Below are 25,548 nucleotides of genomic sequence, written 5' to 3' on the forward strand. Positions count from 1 at the left end.
TGATCTCTTGAATAGAGCCTACCAATTTTACTCTGTGCAGTGCAGGCCCTTGAAAATATCAAATAAAGTTGAAGAGCAAAATGTGTGGAAATTACTTAATTTGTTGATTGCAATGGTTTTTCCCATTAGGACTATTACTCAAGAGTGAGGTTAATGACCCTGCAGGAGCCAGGAAGAAGCAAGAGAAATCTCAGGGAGCTCAGAACACAAAGCCTGATGATGAGAAAAAAATGTTAAGAGAGCAGCACCCAGCTCAAAGGTGGAGACATCGTGACAAAATGAACTCAGGAGCAAATACAGGGATTTTGCTCTCACTGTGAGCAGCATGGAGGCCCTCATTCTGAGCCCTAACTCCTTGAGGGAAATAGAGAATCGAATAAATCTCAGTCTGGAGTCATGGATTTATTTTTTCTTATTCCAGTTAAGAAAATCATTGGATTTTTAACATTTTGGGCTCAAGGTCTCACTCTGAAAATCTAATGAAAAGTCATGATCATGCCACCAAAAAAATGCACATAAGCATACTCTAGCAAAATTTTGCTTGTAATTTCAGGTATATGTAATCTAAAAGCTTTCCTTCCTACTGGTTAAGAACTTCCACTTTATAGGGCCAATAAAAGCAGGTAACTCCATTCTAGGGACTTACCCTGTGACACTCTTTGACAAAAATCATCTAATTGAATCCTCATCACAACCACATAACATGGGAATCTATATCTCTATTATCTAGGAGAAACAAAGTGCAAAGAATTTCAGTCATCTAGAAAGCAAGGGTGACTGTTAAGAAGTATGAGGCAGAGACATTATTGGACTGCTTGGCACCCCTGTGGCCCCCGCTCGTTTTTATAGCTTCATGGAGTTAGAGACAGCTTAGAGACCAGTTCTGTCCAATGGCTTGAGAGCAAAAGCAGAGTGTGCCATTTCTGGACCACGGTTAGAATCAGTTTGTGACTCACTAGCTTTCCTCCCCTACCCTGCTGACCATGGAAGCTTCATGTTAAGATGGAAGACAGTTTTGCTGCTGCTAAGAAATGCAAATCCTAATTGCCGATGATGTAAAACCACAGGTTTATTTCTTTCTCACTCTACCTGTACAAGAAAGGGTTGCTGGGGACTGTGCTCACTGTAGTTACTCAAGTACCCAGGCTGGTGGTGGTCCATTGCATAAGTGCCCACGATTGCTGAGATGGGAAATAAAATGTTGGATTGTATACTCCATAATTCAACAACTCTTGGTCTGCCTCTCAGAAATGATAAACATTAATTCCCCTCTCATTTCATTGGCAAAGATATTCACTTGCCCACTGTGATGGCTAGTATTCAATTAAACACCAAACTATGTGGCTGTGAAGTTATTTTGTATATTTGATTCATATATAGAATCAGTTGACTTTAACTAAAGGCGGTTATTCCTGATCATCTGGGTGGGTAGGCTTAGTGTAACCAGTGACAAGCCTTTAAGAGCCAAACTGGGGTTTCCCTGAGAAAGAAGGAATTCTGCCTCAAGATTGTGGCATGAGCTGTTGCCGAAGGGTTCGTAGCTTGCCCATCTGCTGTACAAATTTTGGACTTAAAAACCCCAACAATGATGTAAGCCAATCCCTTGAAATAAATAAATACATATAAATGTAAGTAGATATCCTAAGGGTTCTATTTCTCTGGAGAATCCTGACATACACAGCCACACTAAACTTCAGTGGGGCATATCTACTGGGCCTGGAAGTGGAAAATCTCTGATCAGCTCTAAAGAACACCAGAATGTCTGAGTCATTATCTTCCAGAAACTACTTGAGTTGCATTGGGTTCTGTGTGAAAGAAAAATAAGTTTACGATAAAACAAGGCTGAAATATTTTTATTTTTTTGTTTAATTTTTTAGAAACTGTATTGACATTTCTTCAAAGGGTATAAAATTAAAAAATAATCACTGGGTATACTTTTAAGAAATAAATACATCCATGTAACCAGTATACAGATTAAGGAAGTAAATATAGCCAACACCCTCAAGAAATCACCTTTCTTTCTATTAAGCTGCTGGATTTTTAAGCTGAATTTTTCTTCACACATATCTTAGCCTATCTTATCTAACGTACAATCCAAATTGAACTTAGTGTACTTTATTTGTTTTCAAAGCCAACAAAATTTTTCCCACAAAGAGTACTGCTAGGGTCTCTTCCCAGCACAGCACATATATACATAACACATTATTGTTATTGCTAATTAATATTTATCAAATACTTAGAAGCCAGGTGCTGTGAGCATTTTACTTAATGATAACATAGATAACAATGGTGAAAATATCTCCCAGTCACTGGGCTAATTATCATAGTTTGTGTTAACATTTCTAAAAAGAAAAATCTTGAAGTTAATGCTATCTACTTTACAGATGGGAAAACTGAGGAGGTCACCTGACTTGATAAAGCGAATCTTCAAAGAGAGGATGATCTAACCCTGTAGCATATGCTCTGAGCCACTATTTTGTACCTTTTCTTGTAGTCGGGACTCTGCACCATGCTGTGCAAAAATGTAGACTGCTGTGCTGGGGGTTTGGGTCCAAGCTGGGAGGCTTTTGTTAGCCCATGAATGACAGGGAGTCCTTAACAAATTCCTCTCCCTTCTGGCCTCTGATTCTTCTCCTTCTGGATCTGTGTAGGCAGATTCAACCTTGACTAGTGATGCCCAATGTCAGGTCCCTGGACACTTAGGGTCAGCAAAGCTGGAATTTGTGAGCTGCTTTTCCCCAGCTGTTATTAAAAGTTTCAAAAAACATAAAAATTTGAAGAATATTTTAACAGACATCTGTACACTCTCCTCCTGCATTTGTGAACATTTTGTCATATTTGCTTCCATCTCTCTGTTTCTCTTTCTTTCTCTCTCTCTCACACACCCACATATGCACACACACACATGGAGATACACACACACATATTTTAGACATCTCTCATGTAAACCTTGCACATTTAAGCATCTACCTCTTATCTCTCAAGGACAGCCTCCTTCATAACCACAATTACTATTAGCAGCCCTGGAAAAATTGGCAATAATTTAAAAATATCACCTAGTATCTCCTTCTTGTTAAAATTTTACTAATTATTCCAAAGATATATTTTATAGCTTTTATTGTTTTGAATCAGAATCCCATCAGGGTATGGGATCTCATTTGGTTCTTATGCCATTTCAGTCTCTTATAGTCTAGAAATACCCTATCGAATATAATTCTTTAGTATCACTAGCTATACTTCAAGTGCTTAATAGCCACATGTGGCTAATGGTTACTATATTGTACACCAAAGATAAAAAATATATTCACTATTACTTGAAGTTTTAATGGACAGGCCTGAGTTGGAACAATTCCTGCATATTTTCTTTTCATGATATTGGCTTTTGGAAGAGCCCAAGAGACCTGTTTTCAGGAACAGAAAACCAAACACCACATGTTCTCACTCGTAAGTGGGAATTGAACAATGAGAACACATGGACACAGGGAGGGGAACAATACATACCAGGGCTAGTCGGAGGGTGGGGGGCGTGGGGAGGGACAGCATTAAGACAAATAGCTAATGCATGTGGGACTTAAAACCTAGGCGATGGGTTGATAGGTGCAGCAAACCACCATGGCACACATTTACCTATGTAACAAACCTACACATTCTGCACTTGTATCCTGGAACTTATAGTAAAATAAAAAATAATCTAAAAAAACAGTGCTGTTTTACAGAATTCCCACATTCTGACTTTGTCTGATCAGTACTTCTTGGTATCTCAGAAATGAAATTTAGATCTAAATCTTGATTAGATTGAGATTAAACGTTTTTGACATGAATAATACACAGACAATGTTATATTTCCCAAGGTATCACATCAGAAAGCTCATAGTATCAGGTTGTATTACTGTTGCCAATATTATACTTTATTCCTTGGTTACGATCATGATATCTCTCCATTGTTAAGCTGTTTCTCCTTTGTAACTACTAAGTAATCTGTGAGGAGATATTTTGGTACCATGCAAAGTCCCTATTTTTCTAAGCAGATATTGGCCATGCTTTCTGTATCCATTGATGATTCTTGCCTGAATCAATTATCATCTATTGAGGACTGAAAAATTATTTTTCTAGTTACAATTCTATCATTCTTTATATGTTCATTAACTGACATTATTTTGTAAAGGGAATATCTTTTTTCTCTATTTTTTCTTTCTTTTTCTTTTTTCTTTGTTGGAATGCAACTATGAACTCATAGAATTTTACTTATTTCAATGACTTAAATCAGGTAGTGTCTCTCTCTCTTATTTTACTCTCACAGCTTCTAAATTTGGCTAGTGAGAGCTCCTTTGAGCTGGCTACTCCGTCATTTTGTCATGACCATGTCAACCTTCAAAAACTTTCTTTTTTTTCTGACACATCAAAATTTCTCAAGTTCATCTTGAGATGTACTTTCTCTGGCTTAGGCCTGGAGCAGTCATTTCTCCAAGGAACCCTGGTTGTCTCTTTACTGGGGAATGGTATTCGGCAGTCAACATGTGTGTGACCACTTAGTTGTCTGTGACCTATTTTAATATTTTAAAAATCTAGCTGTTAATTAAACAGCAAACCTCTTTACTTTCAAATGAAATTATATCAGTTTTGTAAAAAAGTAATGGGTTGATGATTCTAAACTGATTAGAAACTCTGAAGAGTATTTCCACTGACGTAGTTTAATTTATAAGGGGAAACGAGACATTTCACCACTGCAGTAGAAAAAAATCTCAATCCCTTTCCTGTTCTTCCTCTCTATTTAAAAGAGCAATGCCCAATTTCTAGCCATCTTTAATGACGTTTTAAACTGTGATTCATCTTAGTACTAATAGTGTAGCAAGATTATAGTTAATAATTTTGAAGCTTCCAGCTAAGAAAATGTCCTGGAGGGACATTGGTATTCCAGATTCTGAGGCTATTTAGTTCTCATGTAAAGGGATCATCTATTATCGTAGAATGCAGGTCAGTAAAACAAATTTGACAGAATATTTAGGAAAGAACTTCTTCTGGTGAATTTTATACATTTTATATATATATATATACACACACTGTATTTTATATATAGTGTATATATATTTTATATATCTAATAGTTCACCAAATATATATATATTATATATAATATATAGGCTAAATTTATATTGTATATATTTATATTATACAATATATATACTATATGTAGTCCACAAAATGTATATATATATACACATATATATATATAAACCTGTTTTATTTCTCTTTTCCCAAATGTTAAAAGCTTACCTTTAAAACTTTAAACATTGGGAGGCCTAGGTGGGCGGATCACGAGGTCAGGAGATTGAGACCATCCTGGCTAACACGATGAAACCCCGTCTCTACTAAAAATATAAAAAATTAGCTGGGCGTGGTGGTGGGCACCTGTAGTCCCAGCTACTCGGGAGGCTGAGGCAGGAGAATGGCGTGAACTCGGGAGGTGGAGCTTGCAGTGAGCCGAGATAGCGCCACTGCACTCTAGCCTGGGTGACAGAACGAGACTCTGTCTCAAAAACAAAACAAAACAAAACAAAACAAAAACTTTAAACAATCAATTATTTGTTACGTGCCAGGTGTTCGATAGAACACTTTTTACATATGTCATAGTTTCTTGATTTTAAGATGTCATCAATTATAATACACACCATAAATTATTGAGGACAAAAATGAAACATGTTATAAAATCTATAGTCTATTTTAATAACTGTCATGACCATGCATTTAACCATCTCTAATTTGTCAGAAACCAATTTATTCTTTAGTTTTTTAGTGAAGTTTGATTCAAATCTTTTCACAATAAAGGTAAAGATTCATTTGAATCACCTGTGGCTATTGGAAAACATTCACAGATTACTGACCACGGTGGTATACTGCTTTTCATAATTCATGCTATGACATGCTTTTCAACAACTGATAGACCAATGTCAAAGTATGTTGAGAAGCAACAGGGATTTGTTTGCATTTCCTGTTTGGTTAATCTTGGCATTTTGTTTCTAACCAGATTGAATTTCTTTAGGTAACATATTTTAATCAGTTTATTGAGATATAACTTACATATTGTAGCCATCTAAGTATGCACAACTCAAAGCATTTTGAAAGATGCATATGCAAAAGATAATGTTGCTACTATTGAAAGACAGAATATTTCATCGCCTTAAAAGTTTCTGTGTACACACTTTTAGTCCCTCAACTCCAGGAAACCACCAGTCTACTTTTTGACCCTGAGTTATCCAGAATTTTTGTATCTAGCTTCTTTTACCTCACATAATTATTTTGAGATTCATTTATATTGGTATATTCATTTCATTTATTTTTTACTGAGTTGTATTTCACTGATTGGAAACATATTATCTGGTCACCTGTTGATGCACATTAGGTTTGTTTCCAGGATTTTTGCTATTTTGAACAAAGCTACTATTAATATTTACATACAAGTCTTTGTGTTTTCATTTCCCTTGAGTAGATATCTAGAAATGGAATGACAAAGTCATGTGTTTAGTGTAAGTTAAACTTCATAAGAAACTGTCAGACAGGTTGCTCAAATTGTTGAAACATTTAATATGCCCCCCAGCAGTGTATGGAAAACCCAAGATGTCTTATTTATTGATTTCTAACTTAATTCCATTGTTGTCAGTGAACATACTTTTGATAACTAATATTGAGTATCAACTTGATTGAAAGATGCAAAGTATTGTTCCTACGTGTGTCTGCGAGGGTGTTGCCAAAGGGGATTGACATCTGAGTCAGTGGACTGGCAAAGGCAGACCCACCCTCAATCTGGGTGGGCACCACCTAATCAGCTGCCAGCTCTCCCAGAATAAAAAGCAGGCAGAAGAACATGGAAAGACTAGACTGGCTGAGTCTTCTGACCTCCATCTTTCTCTTGTGCTGAACGTTTCCTGCCCTCGAACATTGGACTCCAAGTTCTTCAGCTTTGGGACCCTTGGACCTTTGATCACAGACTGAAGGCTGCACTGTCGGCTTCCCTACTTTTGAGGTTTTGGGACTCGGACTGGCTACCTTGCTCCTCAGCTTGCAGACGGCCTATTGTGGGACCTCACCTTGTGGTCGTGTGTGTCAATAATCCTTAATAAACTCCCCTTTACATATACATCTATCCTATTAGTTCTGTCTCACTAGAGAACCCTGACTAATACAACACTCTTTATTATATCAATTTTTTCAATTTACTGACATTTGTTTTATAGCCCAGAATATGGGCTGTCTTGGTGCGAGTACCACATGCTCTTGAAAAGATGGTAGATTATGCAATTATTGGTAGTTTCTATGAATATCAATGCGGTCAAGATGGTCAATAGTATTATTCAAATCATCTATGTCTTTACTGAATTTCTTTCAGGTTGTTTTTCCAATTGCTGAGAGAGCTATAAAAATCCACTATGTGAAATCAACTATTCCTCCCTTTAATTCTATTTTTTGCTTCATATATTTTGAGGGTCTGCTGTCAGTGACAAACACACTTATGGTTTTATGTGTTTGTGATGAATTTTCATTTGACTAAATCATTATGTCATGTTGTCTAGTCAGTTTAGCCTGCGATAACAAAATACCAGAGGCTGTGTGGTTTACACAATGGAAATTTATTTCTCACAGTTCTGGAGGCTGGGAAGTCCAAGATCAAGAGCCAGCAGACCCTGTGTCTGCTGAGCGGCCACTTCCTGATTTGCAAATGGCCTTCTTTTCCTTGTATCCTCACGTGGCAGAGAGGAAAGAGAGATAAAGCTCTCATCTCCTCCTATAAGAGCATTAATCCCATTCATGAGGGCTCACTTCACCCTTATAACCTAATTACCTCCTAAAGACCCCACCCCCTAATACCATCAGATTAGACATTAGGTTATCAACGTCTAATTTTGGAGTGGAGGGCACAAACATTCAGTTTATAGCACATGCCCATGTTTACAGTATACTTTTCCTTGTCATCTAGTTTATCTAATATCACTATAGCCACTCTAATTTTCTCATTTCACTCTATTATGTGCATGGTACCTTTCCCATCCATTTACTTTCCATCCATATGTGTATAGTTATGCATCACTTAACAACGGGAATATGCTCAGAGAAATGCTTTATTAGGCAATTTAGTCCTTGTGCAAACATCATAGAGTGTACTTACACAAACCCACACACTCATTAGCCCAGGCTTACATGGGGTCAGGACCATCAATATCACTGCCTTTCATCTCCATATTTTGCCCCACTGGAAAGTTTTCAGGGGCAATCACACACATGGAGCTGTCACCTCTATGATAACAATGTCTTCTTCTGGAATGCTTACTGAAGGACCTGCCTGAGGCTGTTTTATCATTAACTTATTTTTTTGGTAGGTAAAACACAAGTTTAAAATTGTAAATACATAAACCAGTAACATAATTTCTAGTTATCATTAGAAAGTATTATGTACTGTATATAATTGTTTGTGCTAGATTTTTATATAACTGGCAGTGCAGTAGGTTTATTTACACCAGCATCACCACAAACACACAATAATGCATTCCACTCCCATATTACAATGGCTACAACATCACTAGGCAATAGAAAATCTTCGGCTCCATTAGTCTAATGGGACCACCATTGTATATGTGGTCCATCCTTGACTGAAATGTATTATGTATCACATGACTGTATTTATATTTGTATAGCATATATTGGGGTCTTGCCTTTTTATTCACTCTAATAATCTGTTTTTAATTGGAGTGTTTATTCCATTAGCATTTCATGTAATTATTTACATGGTTGGATGTTGGTCTACTATCTTATTTACTATTCTATTAATTATATTGTTTGTCCTCACTGCTTTTTGCTCCTCTGTTTTGCTTCCCTGCTTTCTTTTTATTAGTAAAATTTTGAGCAATTACATTTTACTGTATCTCTTGGCATTTTAGCTGCACCTCATTGTATTTTTAGTAGTGATATATGGATTGAAATATGCATGTCTATCCTTTCACAATCTGCTTAGATTTTATATTGTGCTAATTCACATAAAATGTGGAAACTTTGCAGCCAAAAAGGTCCAATTAGTCTTTCTCAACCATGCCATATGCTAAAGTTTTCATATGCATTATATCTCATTTTTTTGTAAAACCTACACAGCAATGCTGTGATTTTGCTTTAAACACTGATTTTTTAAACAAGTTTAATTTTAAAAAGTCTTTAATATTTATTCATGTATTGAGTATTTCTGACATACTTTTGTCATGAATGAGTTTTACCCTGATATTTGCCTTCAGCTTGAAGAACTACCTTAGCATTTCTTGTAGTGCAGCTCTGCTGGCAACAAATTGTATTGTTGTTTTTAACTGAAAATATCTTTATTTGTCTTTATTCATTTGCAAGATACAGAACTCTTGGTTGAAAGTTTGTGTTTGTTTAGTTTCTGCCAACACTTTACAGATATTTTTTCAATGCTTCTGACTTCTATAGTGATGAAAAATACTTGGTAATTTCAAATTGTTTCTCCTCTTTATTTAATATGTAGTTTTTCATATTATTCCAAAATTTTTGACCTTCATCATTTCTGACAAGAACCCTTGGTAATTAAAATTGTTGCTCTTCTCCATGTAACATGAACTATTTCTCTGATTGCTTTAAAGTCATTCTCTTTATCTTTGATTTTCAGTTGTTTGGTGCTGATGTTCTTACCCATGCTTTTCTTCATATTTGTCCTCTTTTCAACATATTGAGTTTCTTGAAATTAGGAAAATTTTTGGCCATTATTTTTTCAAATATTTTCCTGTCCCATTCTGTCTCTTCTCTCTTTCTGAGACCACAACCACGTATATGTTAAACATTTTAATATTGTACCACTGGTTCCTGAGGCGCTCTCTTTCTCTCTCTCTCTCTCTCTCTTCCAATGTTTAGTCTATCTCTAGTTCAGATTGGATAATTCCTACTGATCCATCTTCAAATTCATTGACTATTCTCTGCAATTACAATTCTGCAATTACACCCATCCCTCTTTTCAAAATATTTCAGATATTATTTCTTTGGATTCTAAGATTTAATTTTGGTTATTTTTCATATCTTCTATTTCTATTCTAAGATATCCTATATTTTCACTTAAAATTAACTTTCTTCCTTAATTTCATTGAGCACATTTAGAGTTACTATTTTAAAGTGCTTGACTGCTAGTTTCAGCATTTGTATAATCTCAAGATTTCGCCTCTGTTAACTGTCCTTTCCCTAGAGACTGATCACATTTTTCCGATTCTTCTTAAGTCTGGCAATATTAGATTGCATCCTGAGTATGGAGAATGTTTTGTCAGTGACATCGTGGATTTATTACTTTCCTCTGGAGAATGTGATGTCTTTGTTTTAGCTGACAATTTAGTTGGCTAGACTCAAACTGCGGTCTTGTCTCACACGTGGTGAGCAGCGGCTCAAATCACAGTTTGTTTCTTTATCTTTTAATGGAATTAATTTCAGTTTGTTTAGGGGTCAGCTAGATTCTTAGAATTTGCATGCAGAAACTAGGGCTTTCCTTCTCTTACTTTCTCCCTTCTGGGATTCTCCTCACCTTCTGCTGGTTATGGTTACCCTGGACTCCCTTGTTTTATTCCTCAGACCAGAAAGTCAGTGAGTTTTCCATTGGAGCTTGAGTCATCCCATGCCATGCTGGAATGCAATAACCCTCTGGCAAAATCTGCAAAAACACAGAACTCAAATCATGTTTTCCCACATTCATCATGTCAATTCCGCTCCAAAATCATTCTGCCTTTGATTTCTATTCGGAGTCTTGTGGAAGTTGTTCTGTACATTTTCCTCATACATGTTGATCTGCTAGAAGCTTACCCCACCGTATCAGAAGTGGAACCTTTTTAGCTGAAAATTGTATACTGGGCGTTACATAGTTTCTAGTGGAAGTCAATGCGAGAACAACCTGTTAAAGTTGGCCTTGAATTGTCAGTGAAAAGACAAAGAAGAGAATAGTTTTAATAGGAAGAGACCAGAGAGACCAGAGACCAGAGCTGGTAAGACAAGCTGGGAGGCTTTCACAGAAGTTATGTCGTGAGAAGATAAGTGCTTGAGACTGATGAGAGGAGGCAGATTTTAAAGATATTTAAGAAGTAAAATTGACAGAGCTCGATGTGCTAGCGTTTGGCGAGTGAAAGAGAGGGATATATGAGAATGGGTCTCAGTGTTTTGTTTGGATGAGTGACGACATAGATTGATATGAAAGAAGCAGGAACAGCATTTTGTCAAGGGAAGAAAGTGGGTAGAAGGAGTCCAGTTTTGGAAATTCTGAGTTTGAGAAGCTTGTGGACAACCAAAATGAATATGATTATTATATGCAATTTGATGTATGGGTTTGGGTTTGGACCTTTAGCAAGGAAATCAAGATTCAAGCGTGTTTGGCATATGTGTGGCAGTGAAGCTCTGGAAGTCAGTGGTCCTTTTTTCTTGTGGGCAGAGGCAGCTGATGGAGCCTTGTGGGGAAAAAGTTGAAGGGACCTCATGGTGAGCTTCATCTGGTTGAGCAGAGGGCAGCCTGGATTGATTGGCCAGGGTGCTTGAGAGTTGGTAGGCCAAATAATGAACCTGTTTCAGCAATTCAAGCATGATGGCCTCTGAGATAAATAAAGAGGGTGGAAGGATGGCTAGAGAGTGAGACTTTCTGGACATTTAAAGCCAACTGAATGTGTTAAATACTTGCATATCTTCTTAATGCGTGTTATTCTGGTCCTGAATGAAAAGCAAACAAAAAACAAGGTTTCCCACAAATGTCTCACCTCTCACCTGCAGCCAGTCCCCCATCCTGCATGCAGCATTTCTGATCTGGTGGCAGAGAAGGAGTTCATGGTCCCATCATGTTGATAGAGATCAAGGCTGGATAGAACAATGATTAAACTCATGGTGCGACTATGAATTTCAAAGCAAAGGCTTAGGGAAACACAGTAAACCTCCAGTGATCACGTTCTGCCCTAGAAAGTCTTAAATTATTTACTCTTTTTATCACTTGCAAGTTCTTTTCTCTGCTATCCCACTGGACTATTTCTCTCCTCTGAGTCCTTTAGAGCCTTGCTTTCATCACTTGTAACATTTAAAGTAATCCCTTAGACTTTGGACCTGTCAGTTATTTACAGGCAAATGGCAGAGCTGCCATGTGAAGACTGCAGATACAGAATGCTTCCAGACTCCTTTCTATTTTGCATTATTTATGTCACAATGAGCCTAGCTTTTCCTGAAATCCTCCCTCCTCACTCTCTTTTTATAGTCTCTGGAGCTCCGAAACTGAGTTCTGGAGGCAAGAATAGTTCTTATCAGAAGGCAAAAAGAAAAACAACTTCTTTGTAAGGAATAGGGCTATTTTTATTCATAGGCAAGTCCAAATAATGCGTTTCGGTTTTGTCTATGATATCCCATGACACAGTGAGCTGAAAACGTTTTTGTAAAATTCAAGACAGTTTGAGTGCATCCATACTTTGAAATAGGAGACATAGACTGTATTACCTGTAAAGTTGGCTTCTGTTGGATAATCGAACTCAGATTTAACTTACGGTATGTACACATGTATGTATGGATGCATGTTTGTATTATTAAACATGTATAATGCATACTAGGTGGCCAAGCCATCTTTTAAGTGATTTACAAATATTTACTTGTTTAATCCTTGTAGTAACTCCATGAGATTGATCTGTTTATAGTTCCATTTTATATATGAGCCTGCAGAGGCACAAAATTTTGAGGGACCAAGGGCATGATAAAGTAAATAGCTTCCTCAATGTTATGCAATCACAGGGGATGGGGCAGCATTTCAGTCCAGGTTTGGCTCTGAAGTCAGTGTTTTTAACTAGTGTGCTTCACTGCTTCTCTTAATTCTGAACCACCCCATCCTCACTACAAAAATGGAAAATTTCAACAATTGAATTCCAAGATGTTTTTCCCTATTTAAGGTTTATTATAGTGTCAGTCTCTTGAAAACCTTTGAAAACATCATGAAACCTTGATCACTTGTTTACCTAACAAATGAATGTTCTCATAGTTCAAATATTTTTAAATTAATAATATTCTGTTCATGCATTAGCGATTACGAAAACACACTGGTCTAATAGAAATGCCAATTATGTGTGAAATATAATGCAGAAACCTGGCCTTACACTTTTAGGCTTCCATTAAAAATTCCATATGCACAGAAAAGCATTTTCTTCCAGTGTACATGATGGTCAGTGGCGATTTCGAGTGTTTTTTTCTCCCCAGTACCTAGGATCGTGTGGCAGATTAAAGAAAGCCACACATTCTTTGACACTCTTCCCAGTAAGAGAAGGAGTCCATGTTCTTTCCCTTGAGTTTGGGTGGGTTCTGTAACTGCCTTGATCGATACAACTTGGAATAGTGACACTAAATCAGTCTCTGTGTCAAGGCTGTAAGAACCTGGAAGCTTCTACATCCTATATTGATATACTCACTAGAAGAATCCAGATGTGATGCAGGCACCAGATCCAGGTGGTGGAAGATCATTCAGAGAGGAACCATAGCTCCCAGCCCAGAGCCCTGGTTGAGCTTCCATCAGATCCATCATCAGCACTGACTTGCCAGCCACATCACTGAGCTGTCCCAGTTAATGCTGTGTGAGATGGATAAGCCATTCCCAATGGGCCTTACATATATGTCATCTTCAGCAAAACAAATTATTTTTGTTTTAAGATGCTAATTTTTGGGGGGTAATTTTTAATGTAGCAGTAGGCAAAACAGGCAGAGTGTAGGTAAGTTGCAAGGGCTACATTAATGTAAGTGTGTCAGTTATAAATACTATAGGCAGGGTACCATCCAGGTTTTGTGGGGCCTGAAGCTTATACAGTTAGGGGGAAGCATATTTAAAATTAATTCAAGAATTATGAAAAAAAATTAATTTTTTGAGTAAATATTTATTTAGAATGAGAAAATAAATTACAAAAAGATACCAAAAACTTAGAGATTCCAGTCCTTTTCTTCTGAGATTCCTTTAGTCAATTTGCTAGAAAGGCTACTGCTGGCCATGCTTCCTGACAGCCACTGAACATTGCTCCCCTATCTAGAGCATTCTATAACTCCCAGCAATTTCCACTACTCAGAGAAGCGTCATGCAGGTGGGGGCCCTGAGAGGCAGGTGGAGGTTAGCTTCTTGGTGAACCTGCCTTTGAACATGAGCAACCTCTACATTCTGCTTCCTCAGTGACTGATGCCTGTTACAGGCAGAATGTTCGTGTCTCACCAAAATTCCTCTGTTGAAGCCTTATCCCCCAATGTGATGATATTTGGAGATGGGGCTTTCGCAGGGCAATTAGGTTTAGATTAGGTCCTGAGGATAGGGCCTTCATGATGGGATCGATGTCCTTATAAGTGGAACATTAGAGAAAGTGGCCATCTACAAGCCAGAAGATGGCTCACATTAGGAGCCAAATCTGCTGGCACCTTGATCTTGGACTTCCCAGTCTCCCAGAATTGTGAGAAATAAATATCTATTGTTTAAGCCACCGATTTTATGTTTTAAAAATAGTAACCTGAGCATTCTAAGACAACACTCACCAAGATGAGGTAAAAATGATCATAAGAAACAGGTTATACAATACAAAAGCATATTTATTTTATCAAGGTAGGAGAGAGAAGAAGAAGAACAGGAAGAGGAGAGGAAGTGGAGAAGGAGCAGAAGGGGGAAGAGGAAGAAAATGAGCAGGGAGAGAATATTCTATCTGACAAGAAAAGCATTCTCATATAGTATCTGTCGGGTGTATAACTTAGCACAAACTTAATGAAAGTCAATAAGGCAAAATGTACCAAATGTTTACAAATATATAGGCACTTATAATGCAGAACATTTAAATTAAAATTCTCAAGCAAAATCTGCATGTAAGATATGGTTATTGTCTTGGGGTCCATCTACCAACCCTGATCAAGATATACATTTTAGTTTAGTTTTGTCTTAGTCCAGGCTGCTGTAACAAAAACCATAAACTGGGTGGCTTATAAATAACAGGCATTTATTTTTCACAGTTTTAGAGGCCGAAAGTCTGAGATCAGGGTGCCAGCATGGGCAGCTTCTGGTGGGGGCTCTCTTCCTGGATTGCAGATGAACATTCACCAGGTCCTCACAAGGCTGAGAGAGACAACAGCGTCTCTCTCACTCTTCCTCTTCTTATAGGGCCACAATCCTATGGGATAAGGACCTTACCCTTGTGGCCTCGTTTAACTTTAATTAACTCCTTAAAAGCCCTATCTTCAAATACAGTCATATAGGGGGTTAGGGCTTCCATATATGAATTTTTGAGGAACACAAACATTCTGTTCATAGCAAGTTTAGTTCGATTACTTTTTAAAGTTCTTTCACTGTGTCCTGCATCTCGCTTGGCTCTGGAGATGCAAACGTGACTCAAACTGAACCGTCTTTCTCTTTCATGTGGCAGTTTGAGCATGTCCTCCTGAAATACACATGAACATATATACTTCTGCTGATGTGATCTAGCCCTCTCCCCTACTCTGACACTCATACACAAATTTAACTCCACTAACAAAGAGAACCCATATAATTATATTAGCAGAGTGTTGTAGGTAAACAGAAGGGATTATCCACATCACACAGCAAAACTGTCCAACCATCTCCCTTAAACTTTCGCTCTTACCAACCATTCTGGCCACCCTCCCTCATCCTAATATGCTTTCTCCTTCTCCTCCTGTCTCTCGCTTGCTCTTTCTTTTTTTGTAGTCCTATTCAATTTTTCCATGTACTTTCTCTTTGACTAGACTCTCATTGTCAGCTCTGCATACAACTTTTCAGCTAACATTCTGAGTTGATTTTCTACTTTTGTAGAACTCATTTGCATTTGATCTACCACCTTGATCAGCAAAACAAAGGCTTCTTGTGCATGTGTGTGCATGTACATGTGTGAGAGAGAGAGGATCAGAGAGAGAGAAAAAGAGAGAAAGAGAGACCATGTCAGGTTTCTTTTGACTAGTGTTTGTCTATCGTTTTGTTATCCTTTGACTTTTAATCTATCTGTATTTCTCTACTTAAAATGTTTCCTTTAGACAGCATATAATTAGGTCTTTGCTGTTGTTGTTTGTGTGTGTGTGTGTGTGCGCGTGCGTGAATTCAATGTAACAAGACCATTGTTATTTAATGTAATTTTTTATATCATTGTGTTAAAACCTAGCATCCTGCTAACCGTTTCTGTTTGCTTGTCTATTATCTGTTTCTTTTTTCTTCTTTTTCTGCCTACCTTTGAATTCAAATGTTTTATTATTCCATTTTATCTCCACTATTGGCTTATTAGTTATATCTCATTTTGAGTTTTTAAGTGATTGCCACATGGTTAACAATATCTACATCTCTAACTTGTCACAGCCTATGTTCAAATAATATGGTACTGTTTCATGAACAGTATAAGAATTTTACAACTGTATATTTCTGATTCATCCCTTGCATCTTTTGCACTATTGCTATTATAAGTTTTACATTTACTACTAGGTAAAAACTATAATTTTTGTTTCAGACAGTAAATTTTTTAATTATTAAAAATAAAGAAATTTTTTAATATTTACCTTATAGCACTTATTTCTCTCTATAGATCCATGTTTCTTTCTATCAACATAAACTTTTGCCAGAAGAACTTCCTTTTGTTTTTCTTGTAATACTACTGGGAATGTAAGGTTATGTGAGTCTGAAAAATACTATCTAGATTCTTATATTGTTTTCACTTTTGGAAACATTTATGCTGACTATAGAAGCCCTCCCCAGAAGCTGATGCTAGTGCCATGCTTCTTGTACAGCCTGCAGAACTGTGAGCCAAACCTCTTTTTTTATAAATCACCCAGCCTAAGATATTCCTTTATAGCAACACACAAATGGACTAAGGCAGGTGGGACTGGGGTGCCAGAGTTTTCCTCGAAGCCCCTGCTCTACCTTCAGCTCTCTGATATTCTTGCTTGCCTGTGCCATGGAGGAGGTCACCCTATGCTCCTGCTCCTGCCCCAAACATACTGGCTGCTCCTTCTTAACCAATCTAGGTTCACGGTGGGTTTGTGGGGACAACTCTGTTATTTTGTGCCCTGTCAGTTTTACACTGATCCTTATTTCTTGGATTTTGAGGCTTTCTTAACATTCCTGTCTCTCCTCTCTATGGCATTAACACTTTGTCTAGTATCTGTTGTTGCTTTTGAGCTGGAGCTTCCTCCTGTCCCTTAAAATGATTTGCCTCTTTTCCCCTAGAAAAAAGTCCTCTAGGGTTTTTTTTTTTTCTTTTATCCTTCCTACATTGAAACTGGTTTTCGCTTGTACCTTGGGAATGATGTACTTTACTGCTCCTCCCCTAAGAGCACTGGGGTCCAGGAAATGGGTAGTGTTTTGTGAGTGGTCTCTCGTAGCAGTCAAGTACATCCTGCATGTGCATAACTGAAGAGGGTCCCTTCTGGTCTTCTGCTCTGCTCCTGGTCTTTCTGGTGAACAGCTTGGGGAGGCCATGGCAAGAAGGTTGGGAGTGAGTGCAAATTCTTCTTATGTCTGGACCTGCAGTTGCTCTGAACTGACACTTGACCTTTAAAAATTTGTTAAATTCTGGTCGTCGTCTTCTTACTTACTTGAACGGCAGTCACTTGTATCTCCGAGTTCTGTTACAAGAATTTGAGAGTTCTGTTACAAGAATTGAGAGAACAAGAATTTCATGTTGGAAAGGTGTGCCCTCATTTGGAATTCAGGGTATGTATTTGCCTTGCAACGTCAGTTCTCTGATGGCCTCAAGGAAAGTGACTGATTGTGACCAAACCAGCTACATGGTGGGAGTTACGCTCTTTAAACTTTTCTTCATCCCAAGTGGAAGCAGAATTCTATTCTTTTAGGAGACTAACAATAATATAAGACTCTGAAATGAAAGAGAGAGACAGGGCAAGGAAGGAAGGAAAGAAAAAAGGAAGGGAAAGAGGAAGAAAGGAAGGAAGGAAAGAAGGAAGGCGGGCTGTATATAGCACTTTATTATTCTTAATATGCAATGCCCACATCTTACATTACTAACCAAATTTTATTAAGCCCTCACTGAGCCAGGTACTTATTAAGCCAGGTCCTGCCTATTTTAAGCTTTCATATATGTAATCTCATTTAATTATCATGTCAATCTTATGCATACTAATACTACACTCATTTTACTAATATTTTACTCAGTTATAATACTCATTTTCTAAATCCTGAGACTTAGAAAGCTTAATTTGCTCACGATTATACAACTAGGCTTTTTGTCAGTAGTACTAAGCTTGTTCCTTTTTACGTAAGCTGTCTAAACATGTTTGTGGTATCTATAGATATTATTTCTTTAATTTACAGATGAAGACGCTGAGGTTAAGAAACAAGTGACTGCTATGAGATCATAAAGAAAATGCATAAGTGGTGGAAACAATTAGAAAATAGGTGTTTTGATTTTAAGTTGCAAGTGCTCTCCATTCCACAAAGATATTGGAAATGGCTTGAAGGAGGGTCCATGGAGTATCTTCTCTAAATTCTCCACAGCACTTTATACAGCTCCAAATGCATAATGAAACTTAAATAAATCTTACTGAATTAAAAAGAAGGAAAAAACATGAGAGGAAGTCATCGAGAATGGAGAGAGGGAGAGAAATAGAAATAGAGGGAAGATTATAAAGATGAAAAGGACAAGAAGAACAGTCCATATTTATAAAATATTTTAGAAGAAAAATAAAATTTCCTTCTACGTGCTGTCAGGACATGCTTTTTAATTTGTGGAAGTCACACACTGCAGATGTTGCCTTCCGGGTTGCTGGTAGGATCACCATGACAAAGGCGCTGCCTCATCTATAAATAGACGGTCAGATTGATTTCACATCCTGCCCTGGTTCTTCCGACTGCTTGATGGGCGTGACAACACAATCGATGAGTGATCCCATCCACTCTGCCTGCACAGGCCTCGCCTGCACTGTCTTCTGGAAGATGACAATCAGGCTCATTAAATCCAGCACAAAGAAGCTTCAAAGACGTTTGTCCTATCAGAGAAATTGAGCCTGAGTCCTTTGCCATTGCATCAAAAGGAATTGAGATTTAATCAGCCATCCCGTCCAAACCTATTGCTAGTAAGACAGTTTGGATCTTTCCTTTGCCTGTTTGGATCGATGTTAACTGGAACTTCAATGGCCAGAGCTGATGTCCGTTCCAGCCCAGGTATAAAAAAGCTATTCAACTGGACATTGATAGGTTTCCATTGTAAGTGTTGCTTTAATGTATTTGAGGTACCTGGAACTGTGGCTTGAAAAACTAACTCTGAGTCCTGCCACAGAAATTCTTGACCTTGGGCAAGTCATTTAACTACCCTGAGCCCCAGTGTTTCCTTCCTACTGTGCTTAGGAGCATAGATTATGCACTGGGTCAAAGCCTCTGCAAACTTGAGAGTCTCTAAAAGTCAGTGCCCTCATATATGAATATAAACAACAGTAGCATGTCCCTCAGAAGTTGCTATGAGCATTACATAAAAGGAATGCCTTGTCCATGGCTTCCTGGTCATATGATGGCGAGAATGATGACAAACTAATCATTCAGTGTATGAATAGAAAAAAACAGTTAAATCGTAATTTTAGAAATATTAAGGTGACAGCTCTTATTATTATTATTATTGTTATTAGAAATATTTAGAGTGCTTAGTCAAGGTGTCTATTAATATGTATTCATTCATTTAATTAGCATGTATTATGGACATATTATGCAATTGAGCTACTTATAAAACCAGAAACAACTTTTGTCTATTATAACAAAGATCAAGAATCACATACTGATTTCTGGTTTTGCATAGACCAGTTCCACAGTGATCTGCGAAGTTTCACCCCTACATAGATGGTCAGATTCAATGCCATTTCTCATGCTGGCCTTCAAAGCTGACACGCTTGTGAACAAGAAAGAGCAGGTCTGAGGGCCTAAAGGCAACTTTGAAATTTCTTTGTTAAGTATGTGGAATTCAAAGTTTTTTCCAGTTAAACTTAACCCTATTCTTGCGAGGGAAGTCTCCATTTATTTGAAGATTTCTTTAATGCTCTGCCATTGTTTTAATACCATGCTTGTTTTGCACTTTAGAATAGTATATAAAAAGTCACAGCAAACCCAACACGTCTATGTAAAAGCCAGTGATGGAACTGGAGTCCCATTTAGGGCAGGAAACTCTTGTCTCTAACTAGAAACTCAGCAAATACATGTACTGTCACCTCCCCAGGTGATGAAACCTGAGCCCCAGAGTAGAGTGTGCTGGGCTGTACACAGCCCAGCTCTGAATCCAGATCTTAAGAGGCTGTCTGTGTTGTGCTAACCTCCTTCCTCCCTGATGGCAATGCGGAGCCAGGCAGAGGATAGAGGAAGACAGAAATATGATTGGATTTGCATGTTATTATAGAAGACACTTAGGACCGATTTTGCATTTTTACTTTGCTATGGTGCTGAGAGGTTTTCTGTATCTATCTCAGAATGTTATCCCGGCTATGCAAGTCACCTGAGTCAAAGAACTGGTTTGGCAAAACCCGATAACCAGATCAGCCTGAGGTTTTCATTTGTAGCTGGATTGACTTAGGGATGGGGTAGATAACTCCCGGATGTGGAAAAAGTCCAAACTCTCACTTATGAAGAAATGTCCTTCTCCTAGATGTAACACCTTTCATTCCCCAAAGGATTTAAGCTTCCAGTGCTGAGACCCTTGGGTGGAGAACTGCTTTTAGGAGTGAGTCTTCAGCATCAGTTCCTTTCTGTTCCTAATTTTTTGAGGGTGGTGTTGGAGGAACCCATGGGCGGGGAGATGAATAGCAGAGGGCAGCCTGAAAACAGAGGGAGAGGAGGCTTGGAAAGACCAAGACAAATTAAGTAAGTTATATTTAGCAAGGGAGAAAGCAATATTTGTACTTTGTATCAGAGGCTATATTACCCCTTTCTCTCCAACATTATTTAATCTTTTAATTTTCACAGCATTCTATTAGAAAGTCATTACTATAATCCCCATTTTCAGATGACAAATGGAGACTCAGTGAAGTTCTGTAGCTGGCCAAGGTCACAGGATTACTAAAAAGCAGAGCTGCAGGAGTCCAGCTCTGCCAGATCCCAAAGCCCCTGATCTCCACTCCACCTCATGCATCCAGGGGTGATACTGTTTGGGTGGGTGGGGACAGTAATCCCTGAAATGCCCTTTCTTTTCATATCTGCCATCCAGAGGAAATTCTTCCTCTGAACCAGCCCCAGATCCTCTGTTCAGCCTCCCTGTAGCTTCAAGCTGTTCTCCCTCCCTGTCCCCTGGATTCTGGTATCACATGTCTATATCACACACTGCAGATAGTCCAACCCCCACAGTTTAGGGGGGTATCTCATTGTATTTCAAGCAAAAACCTGATTTCATGTGCATCTTATGCCTTTTTCTTGACTGGTGAATATCTTGTCCACATAAAGTGCTCAATAAATCCTGCTCTGGATACTGGCAGATGTGGATAATTAATGCTAAGGAAACCAAACAGCAGCTCTGTGAATTTCTGTGACCAAGATACTGATCGTTGTCTGAACTGACGTGCAAACAGGGTTCATCCAGGCACACACACCCCTGGGCCATGTTCGCACAACTCTTCCATTTGCATTACCTTCTCTCCTGCAGAGAAATAGTAGATTACCCATTGCCAATGAATGGAGCTCATTCTGTTCTTGCTCATGGGAAAGTAAAAAAATCTCACTCATTTAGAATGTGGCTTCCAGAAGAAGGAGGTGATGTGAAGGTTGCAGTAATCCCAGAACCAGGCAGATGGGTGAACAGGACTGAACTCACTGTATGTTGTGCTGCTATGGCACACAGTGGATTTTCCACAACAACTTAGTCTAGATACTGGGAATTTTCTGTTTATGGCTGCAATTTCTCATATTTGTGGGATTGTACTATGTTGAATTACAAGGATGAAGTGAGATGGAGGAAAATATCATTTATTATGAATAGAGGATATCTAATTCAGTCCTTTGTTCACATTCACTCTTTTATATCATTTAAAAAATACATTATATGAATATGCCCTAGCTCTTGTATTTTTTATTCTTCACCTGTTAATGAACATTTGGGTTATTTCCAGGTTTTGGTTATTTTGAGTAACACTGCTTTAAAAATTCATGTAGAACTATTTGTGTGAACATATGTTTTTATTTGTCTTGAGTAAAACAGAAGTAGAATTGTTGAGTCACACGATAAGTAGATTTAACATTATAAAATCTGCCAAACATTTTTCCAAAGGTCTTATGCCATTTTACACTCTCACCAGCAGTGTATGAATTCCAGTTGCTCTATGTCCTCATCAACACTTACTATATTGCTAGTAATTTTAGCACAGGCCAATCCGGTTGACATGCAACTTCGCAATAATCAAAGAGCAGCCATCACCACCCTACATCTTCAGAAACACAAAACTGACCCAGAAAAAGACAACTGGTGATATGGTTTGGCTGTGTCCTCAGCCAAGTCTTACCTTGAATTGTAATAATCCCCATGTGTCAAGAGTGGGACTGGGTGGAGATAATTGAATCATGGGTGCAGTATTCCCATGCTGTTCTTGTGATAGAGAGTGAGTTCCCACAAGATCTGATGATCTTATACGAGGCTTCCTCCTTCGCTCAACACTCATTATCTCTGCTGCTGCCCTGTGAAGAGGTGTCTTCCACCATGAATGTAAGTTTCCTGAGGCCTCCCCAGCCATGCTGAACTGTGAGGCAATTAATCCTCTTTCCTTTATAAATTACCCAGTCTTGGACAGTTATTTATATAACAGCAGCATGAGAACAGACTAATACAGTAAATTAGTACTGCAGAGAGAGGAGTGCTGCTATAAATATACCCAAAAATGTAGAAGTAACTCTGGTTCTGGGTAATAGGCAGAGGTCTGAACAGTTTGGAGAGTTCAGAAGAAGACAGGAAAACTTTGGGAAAGTTTGGAACTTCCTAGGGACTTAGAAGGCTCAGAAGACAGGAAGATATGGAAAAGTTTGGAACTTCCTAGAGACTCGTTGAATAGCTTTGACCAAAATGCTGATAGTGATATGGACAATGAAGTCCAGGCTGAGGTGGTCTCAGATGAAAATAAGGAACTTGTTGGGAACTGGAGTAAAGGTCACTCTTGCTATGCTTTAGCAGAGACTGGTGGCATTTTGTCCCTGCCTTAGAGATCTGTGGAACTTTGAACTTGAGAGAGATGATTTGCAGTAGCTGGGAGAAGAAATTTCTAAGTGGCAAGTCGTTCAAGATGAAGCAGAGCAAAAAGTTTGGGAAATTTGCAGCCTGACAATGTGACAGAAAAGAAAAACCCATTTTCTGGGGAGAAATTCAAGCCAGCTGAAGAAATTTGCATAAGTAACAAGGAGGAATGTTAATCACCAAGACAATGGGGAAAATGCCTCCAGGGCATACCAGAGACCTTTGTGACAGCCCCTCCTATCACAGGCCTGGAGGCCTAGGAGGGAAAATGGTTTTCTGGGCCAGGTCCAGGGCCCCACTGCTGTGTGCAGCCTCCGGACTTAGTGCTCTGCATCCCAGCCATTCCAGTCGTGGCTAACAGAGGCCAAAGTACAGCTCAGGCCAGTGCTTCAGAGGGTGCTAGCCTCAAGCCTTGGCAGCTTCCACATGGTGTTGGGCCTTAAGGGGCAAAGAAGTCAAGAATTAAGGTTCATGAATCTTCGCCTAGATTTCGGAAGATGTATGGAAACTCCTGGATGTCCAGACAGAAGTTTGCTGCAGGGGCAGAGCCCTCATGAAGAACCTCTGTGAGGGCAGTGCAGGAGGGAAATATGGGTGGGATCCCCTACGTAGAGTCTCCACTAGGACACTATCTAGTGGAGCTGTGAGAAGAGGACCACTGTCCTCCAGACCCCAAATGGTAGATCCACTGACAGCTTGCACACTGTACCTGCAAAAGCTGCAGACATTCAATGACAGCCCATGGAAGCAGCTAGGAAGGGGGCTGTACCCTGCAAAGCCACAGGGGCAGAATTGCCCAAGGCTGTTGGAGCCCACCTCTTGAATCAGTGTAACCTGGATGTGAGACAAGGAGTCAAAGGAGATCATTTTGGAATTTTAAGGTATAATGACTACCCTATTGGATTTTGGACTTGCATAGGGCCTGCAGCCCCTTTGTTGTGGTCAATTTCTCCCATTTGGAACAGGTGTATTTACTCAATACCTGTATCCCCATTGTATTTGGGAAGTAACAAACTTGCTTTTGATCTTCCAGGCTCATAGGCAGAATGGACTTGCCTTGTGTCAGATGAGACTTTAGACTTGGACTTTTGGATTAATGCAGGAATGAGTTAACACTTTGGGGGACTGTTGGGAAGGCATGATTGTGTTTTGAAATGTGAGAGCATGAGATGTGGGAGGGTCCATGGGGGAAAATGATATGGTTTGGCTCTGTGTCCCCAGCCAAATCTCACCTTGAATTATAATAATCTCCATGTGTCAAGAGTAGGACCTGGTGGAGATAATTGAATCATGGGGGTAGCATTCCCCATGCTGTTCTTGTGATAGAGAGTGAGTTCTCATGAGACCTGATGGTTTTATAAGAGGCTTCCCCCTTTGCTTGGCATGCATTCTCTCTCCTGCTGCCCTGTGAAGAGGTGCCTTCCACCATGATTACAAGTTCCATGAGGCCTCCCCAGCCATGGTAAACTGTGAGCCAATGAACCTCTTTCCTTTATAAATTACCCAGTCTCAGGTGTATCTTTATTAACAGCATGAGAAAGGACTAATACAACTGGCAAAAAGGAGTTCACATTGTAAATAGACAACTAAACATTTAGCACTTTTCTACCTAATTTTGCTTCTGGCAAGAGCATGAGCTGTAGATTTCAGTCCTGGCCCTGCCTCTTACCAGCTTCATGGCCGTAGGCAAGTTAGTTAGCCACTCTGAGCCTTGCTTTTCTTATCCTTAAAAAGATGCAGTTATACCCACACTAATGGATTGTTGAGAGAATTACATTTTATAAAAAAGTAAATAGAAGGATGTGTATAGAGGATTCAACAAATAAGAGGAGTAGTAATTATTTTTATTATTTCCATGTCCAGTAGGATTTAAAAAAAAGTGTTACTCTTTGCAGGTAGTTCAAAGACTATTTGGAAGGACAGAGAGGCAGACAGGCCATGCAGGTGAGGTCAAAATCAGTACCTCCTTCTGAGACTCCTCAGAAGGAAGGACTACTTTAATCAGTCAGGACTCAAGGCAGCAGGGCTGCTGTTGGGGGAGGGAGGGAAGAGCGAGGAGGCTTCTCAGAGAAAGTAATGCCTGAGCAAAGCTATGGGACAGTGAGCATCACTGAGCTGTTACATGGTTTAGAGGCAGAGTTTTAAATCCTTTTAGAGTAGGTCTCCTTTCTAGGGAATAAAATGTAAGACATGAGATTCAGATTCTTGTGGATTTGGTTTTCTTTATTAATGGTGCCTAATGGCCTGTAATTAAGGCACAACTTGTTAGCTAAACCAACAATTACCATTTGTTTGAAGTGCAAAAAGAGAATAATGAATGGTCTTATTCAGCAGTTTTTCCC

General features: G+C 38.7%; 1 long non-coding RNA gene across 1 annotated transcript in view, besides 1 other annotated feature; it reads left to right on the plus strand.

Annotated features, from left to right (window-relative positions):
- MIR3681HG (MIR3681 host gene) overlaps nucleotides 1-25,548 on the plus strand; it is a 571,233-nt gene that overhangs the window by 372,076 nt on the left and 173,609 nt on the right. The window lies entirely within an intron of this gene.
- Nucleotides 18,213-19,412: an enhancer, noted in NCBI's record as "CDK7 strongly-dependent group 2 enhancer chr2:12537530-12538729 (GRCh37/hg19 assembly coordinates)". NCBI's record gives its function as "activates an origin of replication core promoter dependent on BRD2, BRD4, P300/CBP, MED14 and CDK7 cofactors, with strong dependence on CDK7, by STARR-seq in HCT116 cells {active_cell/tissue: HCT116}" and the evidence as "EXISTENCE:reporter gene assay evidence [ECO:0000049][PMID:35650434]".

This window comes from Homo sapiens, chromosome 2 (genome assembly GCF_000001405.40).
Source record: "Homo sapiens chromosome 2, GRCh38.p14 Primary Assembly".
NCBI lineage: Eukaryota > Metazoa > Chordata > Mammalia > Primates > Hominidae > Homo > Homo sapiens.